Consider the following 18662-nt stretch of genomic DNA (forward strand, 5'->3'; position numbering starts at 1 on the left):
CTTATTGCTGACATAACTAAAATATTTTACAGGTATGTAACCTGCAGACGTGGTCTGATCCAAAGGTTCATGGTGTTCTCTGAGGTCCAGCTATGTTTCTCTGCAATTCTCTCGACTCTGCTTTCCCGTATGTTATGGCTTTGCCTCAGGCTGACTTCTCTCAGAATGGCAAACTGGTGGCTGCTGCAAATTCCAGGCTGTGATGGTTAATACTGAGTGTCAACTTGATTGCATTGAAGGATGCAAAGTATTGTTCCTGGGTGTGTCTGTGAGGGTGTTGCCAAAGGAGATTAACATTTGAGTCAGTGGACTGGGAAAGGCAGACCCACTCTTAAATTTGGGTGGGAACCATCTACTCAGCTACCAGCACAGCTAGAATTTAAAGCAGGCAGAAAAACGTGAAAAGGCTAGACTGGCTTAGACTCCCAGTCTACATCTTTCTCCTGTGCTGGATGCTTTCTGCCCTTGAACATCAGACTCCAAGTTCTTCAGCTTTGAGACTCAGACTGGCTTCCTTGCTCCTCAGCTTGCAGATGGCCTGTTATGGGACCTTGTGATCATTTGAGTTAATATTCCTTAATAAACTCCATATATATATATGGAGATATATGTGGAGAGATATATATGTGTATATATATGGAGATATATATGTGTATATATATGGAGATATATATATGTATATATGGAGATATATATGTATATATATGAGATATGTATGTATATATGGAGTTATATATGTACATATATGTGTATATATATGGAGATATATATATACACACACATATACATATACATATATGTATATATACACACACACACATACATATATGGAAAATCCATATATATACACACACATATACATATACATATACATATACATATACATATACATATACATATACATATATGGAAAATCAGAGTTTCTCTATCATGAAGACTTTTGTTACCCATAAATAACCCCAGGAGTTCATGACATGGTGGGAGGTCAGAGGGTGGGTTGTCGCTTGGTACTTAACATTTCCTAAAACTGACACAACAAATAGCTGGTTCCATTGAAGTCCAGTGTGCAGACAGCATTATCAGACAGAGCACTGGCTCAATTCTGATCTACATATTAGAAGACCCTGATAAACTGGTTTTACAGAAGAAAGGAAACTTCCACCAGTTAAGAAGCCACAGACATCATACACCACTCAGGGCCCAAATCACTGGGGCCCAAGCGAGGTGCCAAGCAAGGATCGTTTGGGGTTCAGGTATAATAATACCAGCTTAGGGCTTCAGGAATTAAATAACACCCAACTTAAGGAAGTGCCGTGTCAAATGAGATAACACAGGTGTGAGCCATGAATGAACCACACAGATCTGTGCATGTTTCAGTGTTGGTGGCCACTGGATGTCTCATGGTTGGCAGAACCTTAACCCTTGTGATTCTGAGCTCCTGGTCACCTCACCCCAGTCCATCCCCCTCATAGTTCCTCCTGTCTCACTCATCTCAGGCCTGGCTCCTCAGCCCATGTAGGTGCTCCATTTTAAACAAGAGTCATTATGGATGTTTCCCCCTTCTCCCTCACTGCTTTCCATATCTAGTACCTGAGCAACTACAGTCAGTTCTGCCTACAAAATTACCTCCAATCTACCCATGTCATCTCCACCTTCACCCCAACAACTGTTATCCCTCCCTGGACAACAGCAATACCCATCTCGCTTTTCTCCTCACTTCCCCTCTCACCCCTCCAATATTTTCTCCATGCTGCAGCTAGAATAATCATTTTCATATCAAAATTTGATCTACCACCCCATTTCCATGCTTAAGATGCTTCAAAGGCTTTGCAGTATATTTCAAATAAAATTCACCCTCTTTACCATGGCCTAGAGAGCCCTGCATGATCTGGCCTCTGCCCACGGCTCCACGCCAATCAGCGGCCCTTGTCCCAGCCCACGCCCCTAATGTGTCCAGTTCTCACTCTTGGGGTCTTCAAAGCTCTTTTGTCAGCCCACTAGTCATCCTTCAGTTACCAGTTCAAATGTCACCTCTCCAGAGAGGCCTTTCCTGACCAGCCAGGTTACCAGATAAAATACAGGATACCCGGTTAAATCTAAATTTCAGATAACAAACGAATACATTTTTATTCTGCCTAAGTCCCAAAAATTACATGGGGCATGCCCATCCAAAAATGTGCTCACAGTTTATCTGAAATTCAAACTTAACTGGGCATCCTGTATTTTTATTTGACAGATCTGGCAGCTCTACTGACCACCCAATGTGTTCTGGTGTTATTCTCAACCACGTCACTCTATTTTTGTCCTTCATTCACTCACCATGATTTTAAAGCATATATGGATGCATTTGCTTGTTTATTGTCCTAACCCCATCTAGACTTTAAGCTCCTTAAGGGCAGAGTCTATGTTTATTTTATTCTTCAGTATATTCTCAATAATTTGCACATAATAAAAGTTCAACAGATGTCTAGCACATAATAGGAGCTCTATAAATATTCAACAAATGAAAAAATGAGTACTATGTTAGCTGAAGAGTTAGCATCTTTTTTTTTAAACTTCTTCCTAGGTAATGTGGCAAGTTTTCACCTTACTGAAAATACACTTCACAGACCAAAGCAGTAGAGTATGTAGTCATAATCCATTTAGCTCTGTAATTAGACTTTAATGTGACTAAATTCAGCTGATGGTGCATGGAAGAGACTAGGTGTTGAGTAATGTTAACACTATTTTGACACCTTTCCAGATGATAAAACCACTGGAGAAAAATAAAATAGGAGGAAAGTAAAGATAGGGAGATGTATAAAGGTGAAGTCACAAGAGCGGAAAGTTCAGATTCATAGTTAGGGAGGAAAGGAAAGTAAACACTGATGCCATAAAATAGAAAACAGAGTAATCCAGGGCAAGAGGCTATCAAGAGAAAAGCTTAAAACCCTGGGGCCAAAGTAAAGATTACCTAGAAACTTTGCAAAAGCAAAGATTAATAAGAAAAGCTGAAGCCCAAGCATGAATAAAACCTGCGTTATAGTCCTCATAAATATAAATTAATTGTCACATATAAAGGGGAGGTCAGTAAAGGAGAAGGCTAAGAGAGAGAGAAAGATAACTCAGGTGAAGAGCTTTGTTTTCGGAATCTGATTTGCTTACTTGTTTAGGAAACGAAGGTGAGCCCAGATGTTCAATGGCATCAATTTCCTAAGAATGACTGGGGACCATTTGTGTACCCACAAATTAAAAAAAGAAATTTTACTAAATTCCTGGCCCATTTTACTATAGTTTTAAAGACAGGGCAAAAGATATCTCTCCTTGAGGTAGTGATGGCATAGGATATATGTATAGAATACTTGGAGATATGTTTTTGAAACGTTATTTTTATTGTTCTCTCATGGATGTAGGGTTGCTTCTGGGGTCTAGAGATGGATTTGCTGAAACCCACACAGGTCTAGCTAAGGTGGGTTTACAATCACTGATCTTTAGGAAAGAATACACTGGAAGTCATTTGGAAGGAAAAGTTCATTGAAAAATGTAGTGCAATCTTCCCCCGACCCCACCCCACAGCTTGATACAATCAAAACTCATATCTTCATTGTCTTTGATAAGACTTTGGGTTACTTTGTGATACGGTTTGGCTCTGTGTTCCCACCCAAATCTCATCTTGAATTGTACTCCCATAATTCCCACGTGTTGTGGGAGAGACCAGTGGGAGATAATTTGAATCATGGGGGCGGTTTCATACCCCACACTACTGTTCTTGTACTAGTGAATAAGTCTCATGAGATCTGATGGTTTTATCAGGGATTTCTGCTTTTGCATCTTCCTCATTTTCTCTTGCTGCCACCATGTAAAAAGTGCCTTTCACCTCCCATCATGATTCTGAGGCCTTCCCAGCCATGTGGAACTGTAAGTCCAATTAAACTTCTTTTTCTTCTCAGTCTCGGATATGTCTTTATCAGCAGCATGAAAACAAACTAATACACTTTGCTTCATTGAAAAGCAACTAATAACATTATGGTGTCATCCAGAAAGAGACTGTCATTTAAGGAGTGAATTTTCAAAGTAGGATATTGTCTAGGAAGGTGTGGGGCAAAGTCAGCTCAAACTACACTTTTCCTCTCTTCCTACTAGGATTTTCCAGGTGAGATCTAGCTACAATGAAGTTCGAGAATGACTTTGAATAACAAATGCAGTCAACAGGGGCAACCTAGGGGAAAAAGGTAGTGATGTGGAATGGGAAGAGGGATCCTGTCTCATTTATTTTGCAGGCATATGTGTGAGCAACTACCTTATCTGTGAAACAGAAACTTGGGGTTGTGATCTCCTCTTCTCTGAATGGCTGTCTTTACGATTATTTCTTCTCTTAATTTTCTTAAAACATATATGACTATTTAAACTGCAAATTATAATATTGTGAGGTTTATAACATATGTAAATGAAAAACATGACAATTGCAGCAAAAAGGATGGCAGTAAGGTAGTAAATGAATCAAAATAGTTGCAAGATTTCCATAATTTTTATGAAATTGTACAATATTAACTGTAAGTAGACTGTGCAAAGTAAAAAATGGATTTTGTAATCCCTAGAGCAATCACTAAGAATAAAAAATAAAAGTAAATAAACTGTGTATAGTGATATCTAAAAATTCAAAAGACAAATTATTACAATAATTCCAAAGAAGGCAGAAGCAGGGAAACAGAAGTAAAAAAGAGAGGTGACAATTAGAAAACAAATAAAATGGTAGGCCTAATTCTAACCATACTGATAATTACATTAAACTTTAATGCATTAAACTTCCACTTAAAGGCAGGTATTATCAAAGCAGATTAAAAAAGAGAAGACCCAACTATGTTCTATGTGCTTCACTTATGTTAACTCATTTAATTCTCATCACAATCCTGTAAGGCCATCCCATTATCAATCTCACTGTATAGATGAAAAAATGGGGGCTCTGAAACGGGAAGTAACTTGCCCAAGCTTACCCAGCTAGCGAGGGGCAGAGATGGTTTTGAACCCAAGGAATGGGGCTCCAGAAACTACTAGTCTGCCTCACAAGAAAATTAAGAAAGAAAAACAAGTAAATCCGGAAAAAAGAGAGAAAGGAAAATAGAAAGAAGGAAGGAAGGGTTAAGTCTGGGAAAAACAAAACATTAGTACAAAAAGGTCATTGTAATCCTAGTATTCTACTTGGCTCAGTAGATGATAAGCTACATTTGTAGAATAATAGTACAAAAAGGTAACTGTAATCCTGGTATTCTACTTGGCTCAGTAGATGATGAGCTACATTTGTAGAATAATACTAATTAAAACATTAACAGTGAATTTAATCTACGATTGTGGTATCCCTATATTTTGAGAAAGGGAGAGAGGGAGGAGAATGGAAGTATAAGATAAAATTGACTTCATCCTGCACAATAGGGAATTAATGGCAAATGTCTAAAAGTGATGATCCAACAGTGTGCACTATAATTGTGAGAAATGGAGATAAATATCAGAAGAAATGAATGAAGCTTCTGGAGAGCTAAAACAGGGTTGGGCAGTGGGTAAGGAGGGCACGGGACTATTATTTTTAATTTTTTGCCTTACAGTGATTTGAAACATTTAAAATTATATGCATGCATTCCTTTGATAAAAATGCTTTTGAGAAAAAGAAAAAAAAAAAGACTTGCATCAGCAATCAAAGGTATGTTGAATAGCCCAGTTCAATTTGCTGAGAATAAAACAAAGGTGGTAATTTTGCTATTAAATGCTGTCTTAGGCAGGGTTCTACAGAGAAACAGAACTAATCAGATATACATATAGAGAAAAAGAGATTTATTATAGGCTCACATGATTACAAAGGCTAAGAAGTCTCAGGATCTGAGGTTGGCAAGCTGGATCTCAGGAGACCTATCAGTGTAGTTCCAGATTGAGTTTGAAGGCTTGAGAACCAGGAGAGCAGACAGTGTAAGTTCCAGTCTGAAGGCAGGAGATGATCAATGCTCCAGCTCAAGGACCAGGCAGGCAAAGTTCCTCTTACTCAGCTTTTTGTTCTGTTCAGGTCTGTAATCAATTGGCTAAGGCCCACTCACATAAGGAAGGACAACCTGCTTTCCACAGAATACTGATTCAAATGTTATCTTGGCCCCAGAAACACCCTCACAGATACAGTCAGAATAATGTTTGACCAAATATGCAGACACCCACTGACTCAGTCAAGTTGACACATAAAATTAACCATGACACATACTATTAAGAGTTTACATATATTTTATGTGCAAATTCCCCTATTCAAAGTACTGTACAGATTTCCAATATTCCTAATTTCATCTTCATTTTCACTAAAATTGCTCATTGTCATAGTTATTTTTTGAAATGTTTTTAAATAATATAAAATTATTTTAAAATTAAAAATTACTTTAAAATTATTTTAAAATTAAATAATAAAATAAAACAATATAAATAAAAGAGAACACTATAGATGGTTACAGCCCTGTTGCTACCCTCCCCAGCCCTGCTCTCCTGTCTTTCTCAAGAGGCTATGCATCCATCCAGACTTTATACATTCATGAAAAAATACCTTGTATTGTTTTGTATATTCTTTTCAATAGTCAAAAATACTACCATATTACACGTCATTCTGCAGCATGCTTTTGCAATCAGTGACACATTTTTGAGATCTCTCTAATTGATTATTGCTCTCGAGAAAAAAGCCTGCTGTCAGGGAATTCTCCCAAATTTTCATATCTTGTTCGCATTTCCCCTCTCAACCCCTCCTGTTTTCATTATTCCTCCTTCTTTTCTCTATTTCCATACTTTGAGTGATCTCATCTGGTCCCACATCTTTACCATTCATGTCAGTGTTGCCCAACTGTTTATCCTCTAACCTTGACCTCTCCCTAGAACTCCACACTCACATAAGTGCTGTCTGTTTAATTTCACCACCTGGATATGTAATGGGCATCTGAAACATGTCGTGGTGGAAAGGGGGCTCTGAATTTGCCCCACCCTGCTCCTGTCTTGCCTCTCCCATTTCAGCAAAAGGCCCAATCCTTGCCTCAACCACTTGATCTGGTAGAACCAAATTTCTGAGAGGATGAGAGATAGCGAGGGCAGGTGACCACTGTATCAACCAGTATCCGATTAGGGGCCAGGCAGGAAATGGAACAGGAGAATCATCTGGTTCAGCTCACCGTGCAAAGGAAAGTGTGAGCCTATCCTCCTCCTTTTTCAGGGCAGAAAGGATAAGGACTATGGTGACCAGCAGACTTCAGGCTCTTTAGGGATGGGGCAAGCCGCCAAGCACAAATGGGGATTGCTGTCTTCAGCCCAAGCTTGTTGGATCTTCTTAGAGTAGCTGAAGACCTGCATTTTAAGTATTGGCAACTAATTCAAGCCACTTTTATGTACTGCATAGACCAAACAAAACATATCTGAGGGCCTGATTTTGCCCATGTGTCACTATCTTGCAACACCTTCTGTGTGTGTGTGTGTGTGTGTGTGTGTGTGTGTGTGTATTATACATTTGGGGGAGGGACAGCACTTGAAATGTAGAGATTTGAATCCATCCTACCACATTCATAGTACACTATTAGCATCGTTCTCTGCATGGCGTCCCTTTTTTGTACTTTTTAATTACATTTTATTTATTTCCTTCTATCATCATTTCTACTCCCATCATGTGCCTGCCCTGCCATATGCAACCATTCCAGTTGACTGGGATCTTTTGTTTGTATGTGTCCTTGTAAAATGCATACTGTCATTTCGTATGCAAATATTGTTAATTTACATAAACTGTGCTATTCTAGAAATCTCATTCAACTTTTTCCCTTTTTTTTGTGGCTAGGACTTTTTTCAAGTCATTTTATCTGGAGGGGTGTGTGTGTGTGTGTGTGTATGTGTACAGGGTATGCCTGGACTGTGTTTTACCTGCCCACTCTCCCCAGTTGCTTCCAGGTCCTACTATGAAAAACTTGTACCAGTCCTTTAGGAACCTGTCTAAGCATCTGTCTGGGGTATACCTCGAAATACAGGATTGCTGGGCCATAAGGTGCGTACTGTGCACAGCGCTGCCTTCCCATCTCACCAGCAGTGTAGGAAGGCGCCTATATTCCTATATCCCCACCAACACTTGGCATCATCCAGCTTTCTTCTTCTTTCCTGCCCAATGGAAAGTGATATTTCATTGCTCTAAGAATCCAAGGTGTACTTCCAGAATTAACATACTTTTTCTTGAGAACCTCAGAAGACTTCAAAAACTCTTTGTGTTCATCTTCAGACCTGAAAGGTAGGTGATTCTCTCCATTTTATTGGTGACTCATACACACCAAAAGGCAAGGCCCAAATCTTTCTTCCCAGTGGGTACTTTGAGACCTTACCTGTTAAATTCTATGACTTCCAACTCCTGGCAAGGAGGAAGGGTTGAGGACTGCCTTTCTTCTTGCTATATTCCTTCATGAATTCACCTCAGTTTTCTAATCATTGGAATATACTTCTTGAATGGAAATAAAAGACATGCTTGGTAGTATGGTGTTTTGTCAAGTCCCAAAATGAAAGTCACATAAACAGAAATCCCAAGCATAGTCTGTAGAGTGAATCTTCTCAAATGACTTTTTTAAAGAAAGAAAAAGTCACAGTCCTAATGTGAGCTGAAATACATTCTGGGCACAGAGAAGTGACTCTGTTTTCCTAAGAGAATAATAGGATTAGTCCGGAGTCTTGATTGACATTGCCTTGTCCTTAGAGGCGGTTATTTTCTTCCTTTTGAGTATGGCATAATGTAATCCTCCAACACTTAGGTACTCAAAACATTTTCCCCTAAAGCAGCAGGAGTGATGATCATGAATGATAAGTAAATTTATCAGCATTAGTGTACCAGAGGAACTTCCATCCCTCTGCAGGGAGACTTGCCTGAAGGCTGGAAGGCCATTGCCGAGGAATCAGCTGCAGCCTCTGCAGAGTGGCTGTTGGGGGTGTGGTGTGCTTTGTTTTCTCTTGTGACATGGCAAGAATATTATGTGTAATTTAATATTTGCTAAAATATTATTTTGAGATGAAATACACTCTGTGCCGAGTGTATTTCATCTCAAAATATTGAAAATCCTTTTAATTGAATAAATTTACTGAAAAGCTTCATAGATTTAAATGGTCTTACAAGTCATTTACTAGAAAAGATTGATTTCTTTAAGAGGACCCAGTTGTAACTTGCCTTGAGGATTGTACAAATTCTTTAGGGGAACTGGTGACTTTTTTTTAGTTGTTGTGCATGCGTGCATGTGTGTGTGTGTGTGGTTTTTTTTTTGGCAGTCAGTTATTTTTTTAGTTGAAAATGATACTATTTATTCTATTTATCAGTGGGGAAAACTTGTTTAAACACATTCAGAATGCTGCTCCTGTTTTTCTTGAATCTAATCCTTCTGTTTCCTTTGTTAATAAGGTTTAAATATAAACACAATCAAATTTGTTATATGTGAGCTGTTAAAGCCCTACAGTAATACAAAGTGACCAAAATAGCTCTTCCATAACTCATATTAGAAATGCAATGCTAGTTATTTATAAGACTGATAACACCTAAAGAGATCAAAAGAAGACTGAGGCAGAACACTGTTCACAATTAAAACGAATAAAATTGAATTTCATAATCCTAAACTGCAAGTTCCTCCAGACGGGGAGCGAGTCTCACTTTATAGACTCGGTTCCTGGGAATGAGTCTGGCACCCTGTAGGTAAATGTTGATTGACTTATTATTACGGAATCACAGTGGCCACAATAAGTAACACCTGTTTCTTCCCAACCTGAGACACATAGGAATCAGACAACTGGAGACAAAAATGGTCAGTTTTATTGAAGATAAAACTAAATTAGAAGACATGGCTGCAGCATGCCTCTTAATCCTTCATCCTGAATTAGATGGGATTGACCCCTCAGTCATGGGCAGCTCTGACAACTAGCAGTCCCCCTGCACCTGTCCAAGCTCACTAAATGACCATGACCCAGACATCCCAGGATGCAAGCATCCTGTGCACAAGCTGCCTCCTTTCCCAAACCCACCAATCAGGTAAGCCACGCCCTTCCTGATGAGGAAGGGGCAGAGGGGCAGAGGGAAGGAGGAAGTGTCCCCAATGCTTTTACTTCTGGGAGCAGAATGGAAATTGTTGCCTGTCTCTGAAAACATATAACCATGGAGTAAAATGTGGGCAATATTGTTTCAAAATTATATGTTGTATTATTCTATAAAGGGGTCCACTAGGGCTAACATTCTCAACTCTATTCTTGTAGTAATCAGAGTAAAACTTGACAAATATCCCTCCAGCTAACTTTAATATTCATTCCATTGCTTAGATCAATGTTTTAAATCTGCCTTCTGTTTAGATTAAACTATGTTGTTGTCAAAGGAATTACTTGAATACTTTTACTTACACGCTTGCATTCTCTTTCTCTTCTCCACCATGATTTTGTATGCCCTTTTGTAACCTGTTGCTGGGGCAACTTGGTAATTCTAAGCTTAGGCAAGTATTTAAATTGGGAAACTGTTCTTTAATGACCTTAATTGGCTGGAAAGAGAAATCCTTGTTATAGTGTGCCTTCTATTCTGTTTGGGGTTTTAGAATTTCCGGATGTGTGACAAATATTAAACAAACGATCACTTTGATTTGGGGATTCGGGCTCAGATCAAAGGTACCAGCATCAAACACTTAGCGACAGGTGATGACACCAGACATGGCTCTGTAGTGTAGACGCAGGCAGGGCGTCCAGGGTGTTTGTGGAGTGGCTCCTCTGAGATTGCGATCAATGAGGAAGACCCTCAGTGTTGATACTCTGCAGGTGTCTTCCATGTGCCAGTCTTAGATTTCCACACAGTTCTTTTCATATTATCCTGGCTTTGGGTTCAGATCAGGTTTGACTGTGCTCAAAACCAAATACTAGAATTGCAAAAAATACAGAGACTTCTTCTCAGTGTTTAAAAGGGCATTTTCTAAAAATCATCGAAGAATGTAAAACCCCAGACCACTGTATTTTATCATCATGAAGTTTTAGGGCCGGGGGACACTGTAGAGATCAAATCTGACACCTCCACCCAACCTACTTCTTCATTTTACAAACAGAGAAAATAGAAGCAAACACATTTACTAACTCGAACAAAATTACAAAGCTCATCAGTAAGTAGGTCAGAGGTACAAGTGGTTTTCTGGTTCTCCATCTATCTTTCTTAGTCTCTGCTTCTCAAATGTTGGAAACTTTCGGGATGAATACTCAAGACTTAAAAGAAGGTAGTGCAATTCTATCTAATATCTGTATTCTGTGTATCAGGCTAATTTGCTGGAGTATTAACGAAGGTCTGCAATCTGTTGTAGATGCCATGTTCTAGCCCAAAGCAAGACTGTCCCTTGGTTCACACAATTTGCCAGTGCTTGACAGCTTTCATTTCTCTTCTCAGTATATTTTATACTATGGTCACGGTATTAACAGTCCAACTCTATTAGACAGATCACAGCTCTAATCTGGGAAATTCAGGTAAAAACTGATCCCTGAGTTTTTGCTTCCTTCCTTGAACAGACCGGGAGCATAAATCACTAAATTGGCCTCAATACTTTAGGATTTGATTTGGCAGTTGTTTGGAGGGTTCTGGGGATTCTGGTGGAAAGACAGGAAACATTTTGGCATCAACTTTCAAAGTGTGAAAGAGTCAAAGGCAAGGGTGAGGGGAAGGAGCGGGGAGGGACCCTGCTGAGGACAGGACCACAGCACCCCTTCCAGGCACACAGGCCGCAGGGAATTGGGGAACGCAAGCCCAGATCGTGCCCCAAATAGAGAGCGCAGGGGCAGAGGACTGAAAAACACCTCCCAGGGCACCTATCTTTGGAATTTTTGTCTAGAAAGGCATGGGGCAGTCTTAACGGGGCCTTCCTTGTTTCTGAAAGAGCCATCAGCAATTCACATGACATCTAAGAACTGGACACCTGGGGAAACCACAGACCCAGTTCAGGGAAATAGAGGGCAGGAAAGGCCAAAGATGCTGACAAGAAACTCCTGACAACCCCAGAGGGGAAAAAGGAGAAAAAAAAAACCACCCAGGAAGGCAGACTTTGCCAGGTGGCACCACTTCAGTTTAATTAGACAAAGGCTTGGGGGTGGGGTGTGGCCTGAAAGCAGAGACACCTGGGGAGTGAAAGCGAAGTGGGGGTCAGGGGCAAAGGTGGCGTCAACAAGCCACCTGGGACCCCTGATGGAACACTCCCCCCAGGATATGTAAGGGGCGGGTCAAGGAGGCTTCCAGAAACCAGAGCACAGAGATGGTGGCGCCAGAGGGGGCAGCCTGCTGTAGTCCAGAGATGTCACAAGAACTAGGAAAAACCCATGACACTGACAGTTAACCAAGAGCATGTCCTCACCTGGGTAAAACAAGGGATGAAGTCAAATTAGGAAGGGCAACAGAAAGGAGAGGAGCCTAACCTAAAAGGTCTTTTAAAACAAAAAAAAAAACTTTTGCTATCATTTACTAATGATATGATTTTTTGAAAGCCAAATGGGATTTTTCTTGTCTCCCCATTTCTTCATTTTGAAATTTTCAAACTTACAGAATTGAAAGAAAAATACTCTCTGCCCATCTACCCTTCACTTAGACTCCCTGATGGTTAACATTTTGCTACAGTTGCTTTCACTATCTAGCTAAAGCCTTTTGTTTCCCCTGAACCATTTGAATGTAGGTTGCAAACATCAAAACACTTCACTCCTCAACACTTTTTGTTTTTTTAAATAAATGTCAGGTTTCTGTTTTTTATTATTTATTTATTTATTCATTTATTTAGAGATAGGGTTTCTCCTTGTTGCCTAGGCTGGTCTTGAACTCCTGGGCTCAAGCGATCCACCCACCCTGGCCTCCCAAAGTGTTGGGATTACAGGTGTGAGCCACCACGCCCAGCCAATCCTCAATACTTTCACATGCAATTCCTAGTAAGGCCATCCTACTACATAACCATCAATATACCTAGGAAAATTAACATTATTTTATAATTCATATTCCATTTTCTCAGTTGTTTCCAAATATTTCTGGCCTTTATTTTAATGTAGAATCCAATAATATTTGTGCAATGCATTTAGTGTGTCTCTTTAGCCTATTTTAATTTGGAACAATCCCTGGTTCATTGTTTTTCATTACACTGAAGTTTTTGAACCCAATGGGCTACAATGTGGCACATTCTGGATTTGTCTGATTGTTTTCTCATGATTAGATTAAAATTAAATATCTTGGTCAAGAATACAACATAGGAGATACTGCCTTTCCTAGAAGGAAGTCATACCTCAAAGGGATATGTCTCCCCTATATAACAAAAGGTCCTCATTAGAGTAGCATTAAGCTTGTTCATTTCTTTACAAGTTATGTTGATGTTGTGGTTTCTCCCCCAAAAAGATTTACGATATATTTTAATCACAACCAGATCGTTAAAATAATTATTAAACACCCAGTTATATACTGACCACTGAATTTGATGCTAAGATTCCAGGCAAAGAAAATATCTGGTAAAAAAACACAAATTCTAGAACTGTTCAACTCACACAGAAAAATCTAAAAAGAAATTCCTGGACTAAATTCCACAGGGAATTTATCACTTTAAAAAACATGATGGGCAGCACCTTGCACTGTGGTTCCCCAGCAGAGGCAGCATCAGTCTTCATGGAAAGCCTGGCTCGAAGGGATTCTGTGCTGGGCTGGATGGGTGACCCCCGGGGTTCTGGATGCCAGAAGTTCCAGTGAGAAAGCTGACAGTTTTGAAAATGGAGGAACCTGACTCCTGTTCTTGACCAGATGGTGAACCACTCACCTTTGCAGGGCAGTGGTTTACTTGAAGCTCTATACATATTATTTTCCAAATACAGAACTAAATTATATACAGAAAGAATGGCTAAAGCCTAAAACCGGATAATAACTAGACAAACAGTCCTGAAATTGATCAAAAGATGTATCTTTAATTCTAAAAATGGCACATGCATACGAAAAACTAAAACAGACCATAGAGGTTTATGAAAAGTTAATCTGTCTCCTATGCAAAAACCTAGTCCTATTCTTCAGAAATAATCACTATTGGTCTTATGTATTCTTCCAGGAATGTTCCAGCAAACACATCAATATATCCACATATTTTAATATGTAAATTGCTGAAATGCTCTCCACATAGTTTTCTTTGACTTTTCTTTCCCCCTTAACAATGTATCTTGGGTATTTTGGCACATCAGCAATACAGATCTCATGCTTTTTACTTGCTGCATAGTATTCAATTGGATACCAAAAACCGTTTGACTAGTTGCTTATTTCCAATTTTTTATTATCAACAATGCTGCAAGTGTATGTTTGTATACATGTCCCAAATATTTGTAGGACAAATTCCTAGAATAAAATTGCTGGGTCAAAAGTATGCACTTAAAATATTAGTAACATTGTAAAATTGCCCTCCAAAGAGCTTGTCTCAATTTACATTCCAAACGATGTATTAAAAATGCCCACGTCCCTATCTCCAGGCAAAGCTGTGTATTAACATGATTGATGGGTGAAATGTGGCATCTTCTTTGTTTTTTCTAATTTGCAAATATTTGCAAGGTTATTTGGCTTCTTCTTTTGCCTTTTTGTCTTTTGAATATTTTCCTAAGGGTTTGTCTCTTTATTAGTACATGAAGGCTTTTGATATAATGGAAAAATTAGACCTTGTCTGTCATATGTGTTGTAATCTTTTCCCCATTTTGTCATTTGCCTTTGTCTTTGTTTATAGTTTTTTTTGTTGTTCAAACATTTAAAAAACTTTATATTGTCAACTATATCAATATTTTTCTCTACAGAATTTAGGTTTTATGATGTGAATGGACAGGTCTTCTCTATTCTGAGATTATTAAGAAACAAAACAACAAAAAATCCAACATTTTATTTGGTACTTGTCATTTTTATGTTTAAATTTTTAATCCATATTGAATCTCTTTTGCTGGAATGACTGAGGTATGGATATGAATTTATATTTTTTCCAGATAGCATTTAGTTGCCTCAAGATTTTTTATTGATACATCTTTCCCCATGATTCAATGTTTGTTTTTGATGGTAAGTGTATTTTATCTTATGAAGGTAATTGTTCTCAATTAAAAAAAGGCTAAATCAGCCATCATTAGGTTTTGGGTATGAAAAATTTTCGGCTAGTATTATTCAATTTAGAAGCTACTGAAAACGTCCTCTTACATACAATTCTCAATCCATTCAGCAATCTGGTACTTATTTTTCTCCAAAGAATTCATGTGTTATAAACGTTGATGCAGATTTCTTAAATAAAATTTACTTCATGTTTCATTTCTAAATTATATGACTGCAATTCCAAGTGAAGAATGGTAGTGAGTTTTCTGCAATACAGAAAAGGATCACAACAGTCCATTTACATTATTACTTAAATTATTAAAGAATTGTCCCTGTAGTAAAGATAATTCAGCATTCTTTCAATCTTGCTTAGAAACATCTCCCATATTTCACCTACATTTTTTTTTCCAAAATTAAACCCATGGGTTAACTAAGAGAGTCATGAAAAAAATTCATGTGAGCTCATCATTAGTTCTTCATGCTACAGGGTGCATCTAGATTACCTCATCGTCTAAGATCAGCATTGGTGAGATGATATGAAGTTTCATCCTCACAGAACATAACACTCAAGTTCTGTGAGTTGCTGCTGCTATGATTAACTCAAGTACTTAATTGGTCACTTTAACTTGAACAGGCCTTAAAAGATTCAAAATTGCTCCTCAAAAAAAATGGGCTGGGGGGAAGCATGAACTTCATGAGCACTTGGTAGACATCATTAATCATGGCACGTTTTTGCACATCTTATTCAACTCTGTACCAGCAGTGTTTTAAAATAGTGTTTTGCACATAGCAGATGTTCAATATATATTTGTTGAGTAGAAGGAAGGAAGGATGTATGTATGGATGGTGGATTGGATTGATGGATGAATGAGAGCCCAAATGAAATCTCATCAATTTCCAGAACACAGCAGCAACTGTTGATCAATCCATTAACACTCAAGATGACATTTACTTTGCATGCTGCACTGAGATTTTATTCTGGGCTCATTCTTGCAGACTGTTCAATGAAAGACATGTATATTAAATAAAGGACTTCGGGTGGAAAAGCCTATCTTGCTTAATGTTCTCATCAAAATAATATATTTATTTTTGGATCATGATATAATTAAGAAAACTATTTTTATGTCTAGAGTTTCTATAAGACTCCTAAACAAAAGTGGATCAATGTACACCCTGTTTCAATTAGGGACCACTCAAGGTTTCTTTCTTTCTCATTAATTACAAATGTAAGTCAAACTAGAATGGAAACTCCTCCCTTTATCAAGGACAATGGGAAGTGTTTTATAATAACCATGGTTGCAATATTTTAAAGTACAGATAATTAAAATCTCAGCATGCTGCCATCCAAATCACATACAACAAAAAAGTAAAACCTTCTTACACTGTGTTTCAAAGAATCAGCCTCTAAGCTCTTCCCTCCACTCCTTTCCCTAAGACGCATTACTGAGGACCTAGAATGTGACATGTGACCTATAAGCAGTAGGGAAGCATTAGTAAGCAGATATTTTGTTCTGCTCAGAATGTGTACAAATGAACAAGTAAACAAATATCTGCAGGAGGATATGACAAGTCCTCAGTAAAATGAAGGAAGGAATGAATGAAGAAGTTGATGGAGGATACTCATCAAATTTTGGTAGACTGCCTATGATTTGAGATGAACATTTATTTTTGCTTTTTCCCAGTTCACTCTGCAATGTTTTCTGTAGCAATCATTTGTCCTCTAGTGCCAACTCCCACTGCCTGTTAAAAACCCCTATTTTTAATCACTTCAAAGGGGGTTCCTTTATAGGATAACATCGTTTACAATACATTTTCATATAGATCTTGATAAAAATAATTTGATCACTTATACAACAAATACTTATTGAGTACCAACAATATTACAGGCACTATGCTAAGTGTCCATCTTGGGGTCACAATGACTAGAGGCTCAAGGAATTCTTAGTCTATTTTTTAAAAAATAACTATTAGACCCAGAAGCAAGGAAAAAAAAAAGCACAAGGGAGTTTGCTGGAGGTCAACAAAGATCAGATGCAAGTTTGATGGAATGGAATAAGCAGGATTGGAAGCAATGCCAGATTTAAAACATTTATCCATAAGATGGCCCATCCCACAAAAGATTTGAGGAATTTACAAAAATGCATACAAATTAAAATGACGAAATAAATGAGTCAGGACAAAGGGAAATATGAGTGTGAAGATAATAAAGGTAGGAGTATATTCACCATTTAGAGATGCACACTGAAATTCATTTAGTTACTAGGGAATGCCAAACACAAAACTGAAGAGTAACAAGTGAGGCCCATTTAATGCATCAATTTGCCAATAAGTAAGAACTAAGTGTAAAGACAACTGAAAGGCATTTATAAAATGATTGGCCGGTCTGTGGGAATCAAGAGAGAGGAATAATTAGTGGATAATAACAAATATTATGGAGACCGTAACACAGCTGAAAGAGTAAAGACAAGATGAAAGGTTGAAATAATATGCTAGTATCCTAATAACAGTGATATATACGGAACAGCTCATCAGAAATTAAGGCCTGGTTCGCTGCTGTGGTCTTTTTATGGCTTTTAACAAAGGGATGTGCTCTGGGAGCTTGAGGGACACCCACGAGTGGCATCGCTCTGCTATTGTGAGACCAGTAACGAAAACTAAAAAAGTAGACTGTTTTTAATTCCAAGGGGGTCTGGTTTGGGCATCAAAACACCAGAGCTGAAAGCAGTTAGGGAAGCCACTGCTAAAGAGTGAATACTAGGATTGGGAACTGTAATTGGCCAGACATCCCCCCTAGTCTGGCGGGAACCACATTTTGTCCCATGTATACACCATCCTGGTCCATTCTCACAGGAGGCATCATGACAGGCTATAGCATATCAAGTGGTGTAACCCTGGACAACACGTCTGCCAGGGGTGAGTGAGGCTCCTTAGAATCAGTTAGGGCTGAGAGATGGATAGGTCTAAGAATCCAGGTGTCTATATGCAGCTGACTAAGGAAACCTCAATTTTTGATCTTCCAGAAGGTCCCTTGCTTTGGGAGACCTGCGCATGATGTTAACCTCCTCTTGACCCTCCACCAAGTCAGAGGAGAGAAATACATAGCCTCAGCCTCCAATGGGATTAAAGGACCTTTCAATACCTAGGATTCTGTAGCCCAATCACTGCACCGAACTTAGTATTTCCAAGACTACAAATGAAACCTGGTGCTCCCCTCAAATACTTGCCTCCAAGGATGACCCCAGGACACCCAAGTCATCCCCTAATCACAGCCTTCCTCTTTGGCTTGCTTCACAAAACAGAATGCTTGTTGTGATTCCCACATGACTGCTGCAGTTACTCTGTGATACCTTGTCCCATTTAATGAAGAGCTCTTAGAAGCACAATTCTAATTGGCATTAATTCCAATATTTTAATGTAAAATCTGCTCACTTAAAGTTAGGATGACACCTTAATGCCATCTCAATATAGCAACTTGCCCAGAATAAGAAGAGAGCTTCATTTTTGGAAAGACTTACTGCTAGATTTCAGACATTTTAAAAAATTAAAATACATGGATTGTCTTCATCGCAAACTCCTCCTG

Source organism: Homo sapiens, chromosome 10 (genome assembly GCF_000001405.40).
Source record: "Homo sapiens chromosome 10, GRCh38.p14 Primary Assembly".
Taxonomy (NCBI): Eukaryota; Metazoa; Chordata; class Mammalia; order Primates; family Hominidae; genus Homo; species Homo sapiens.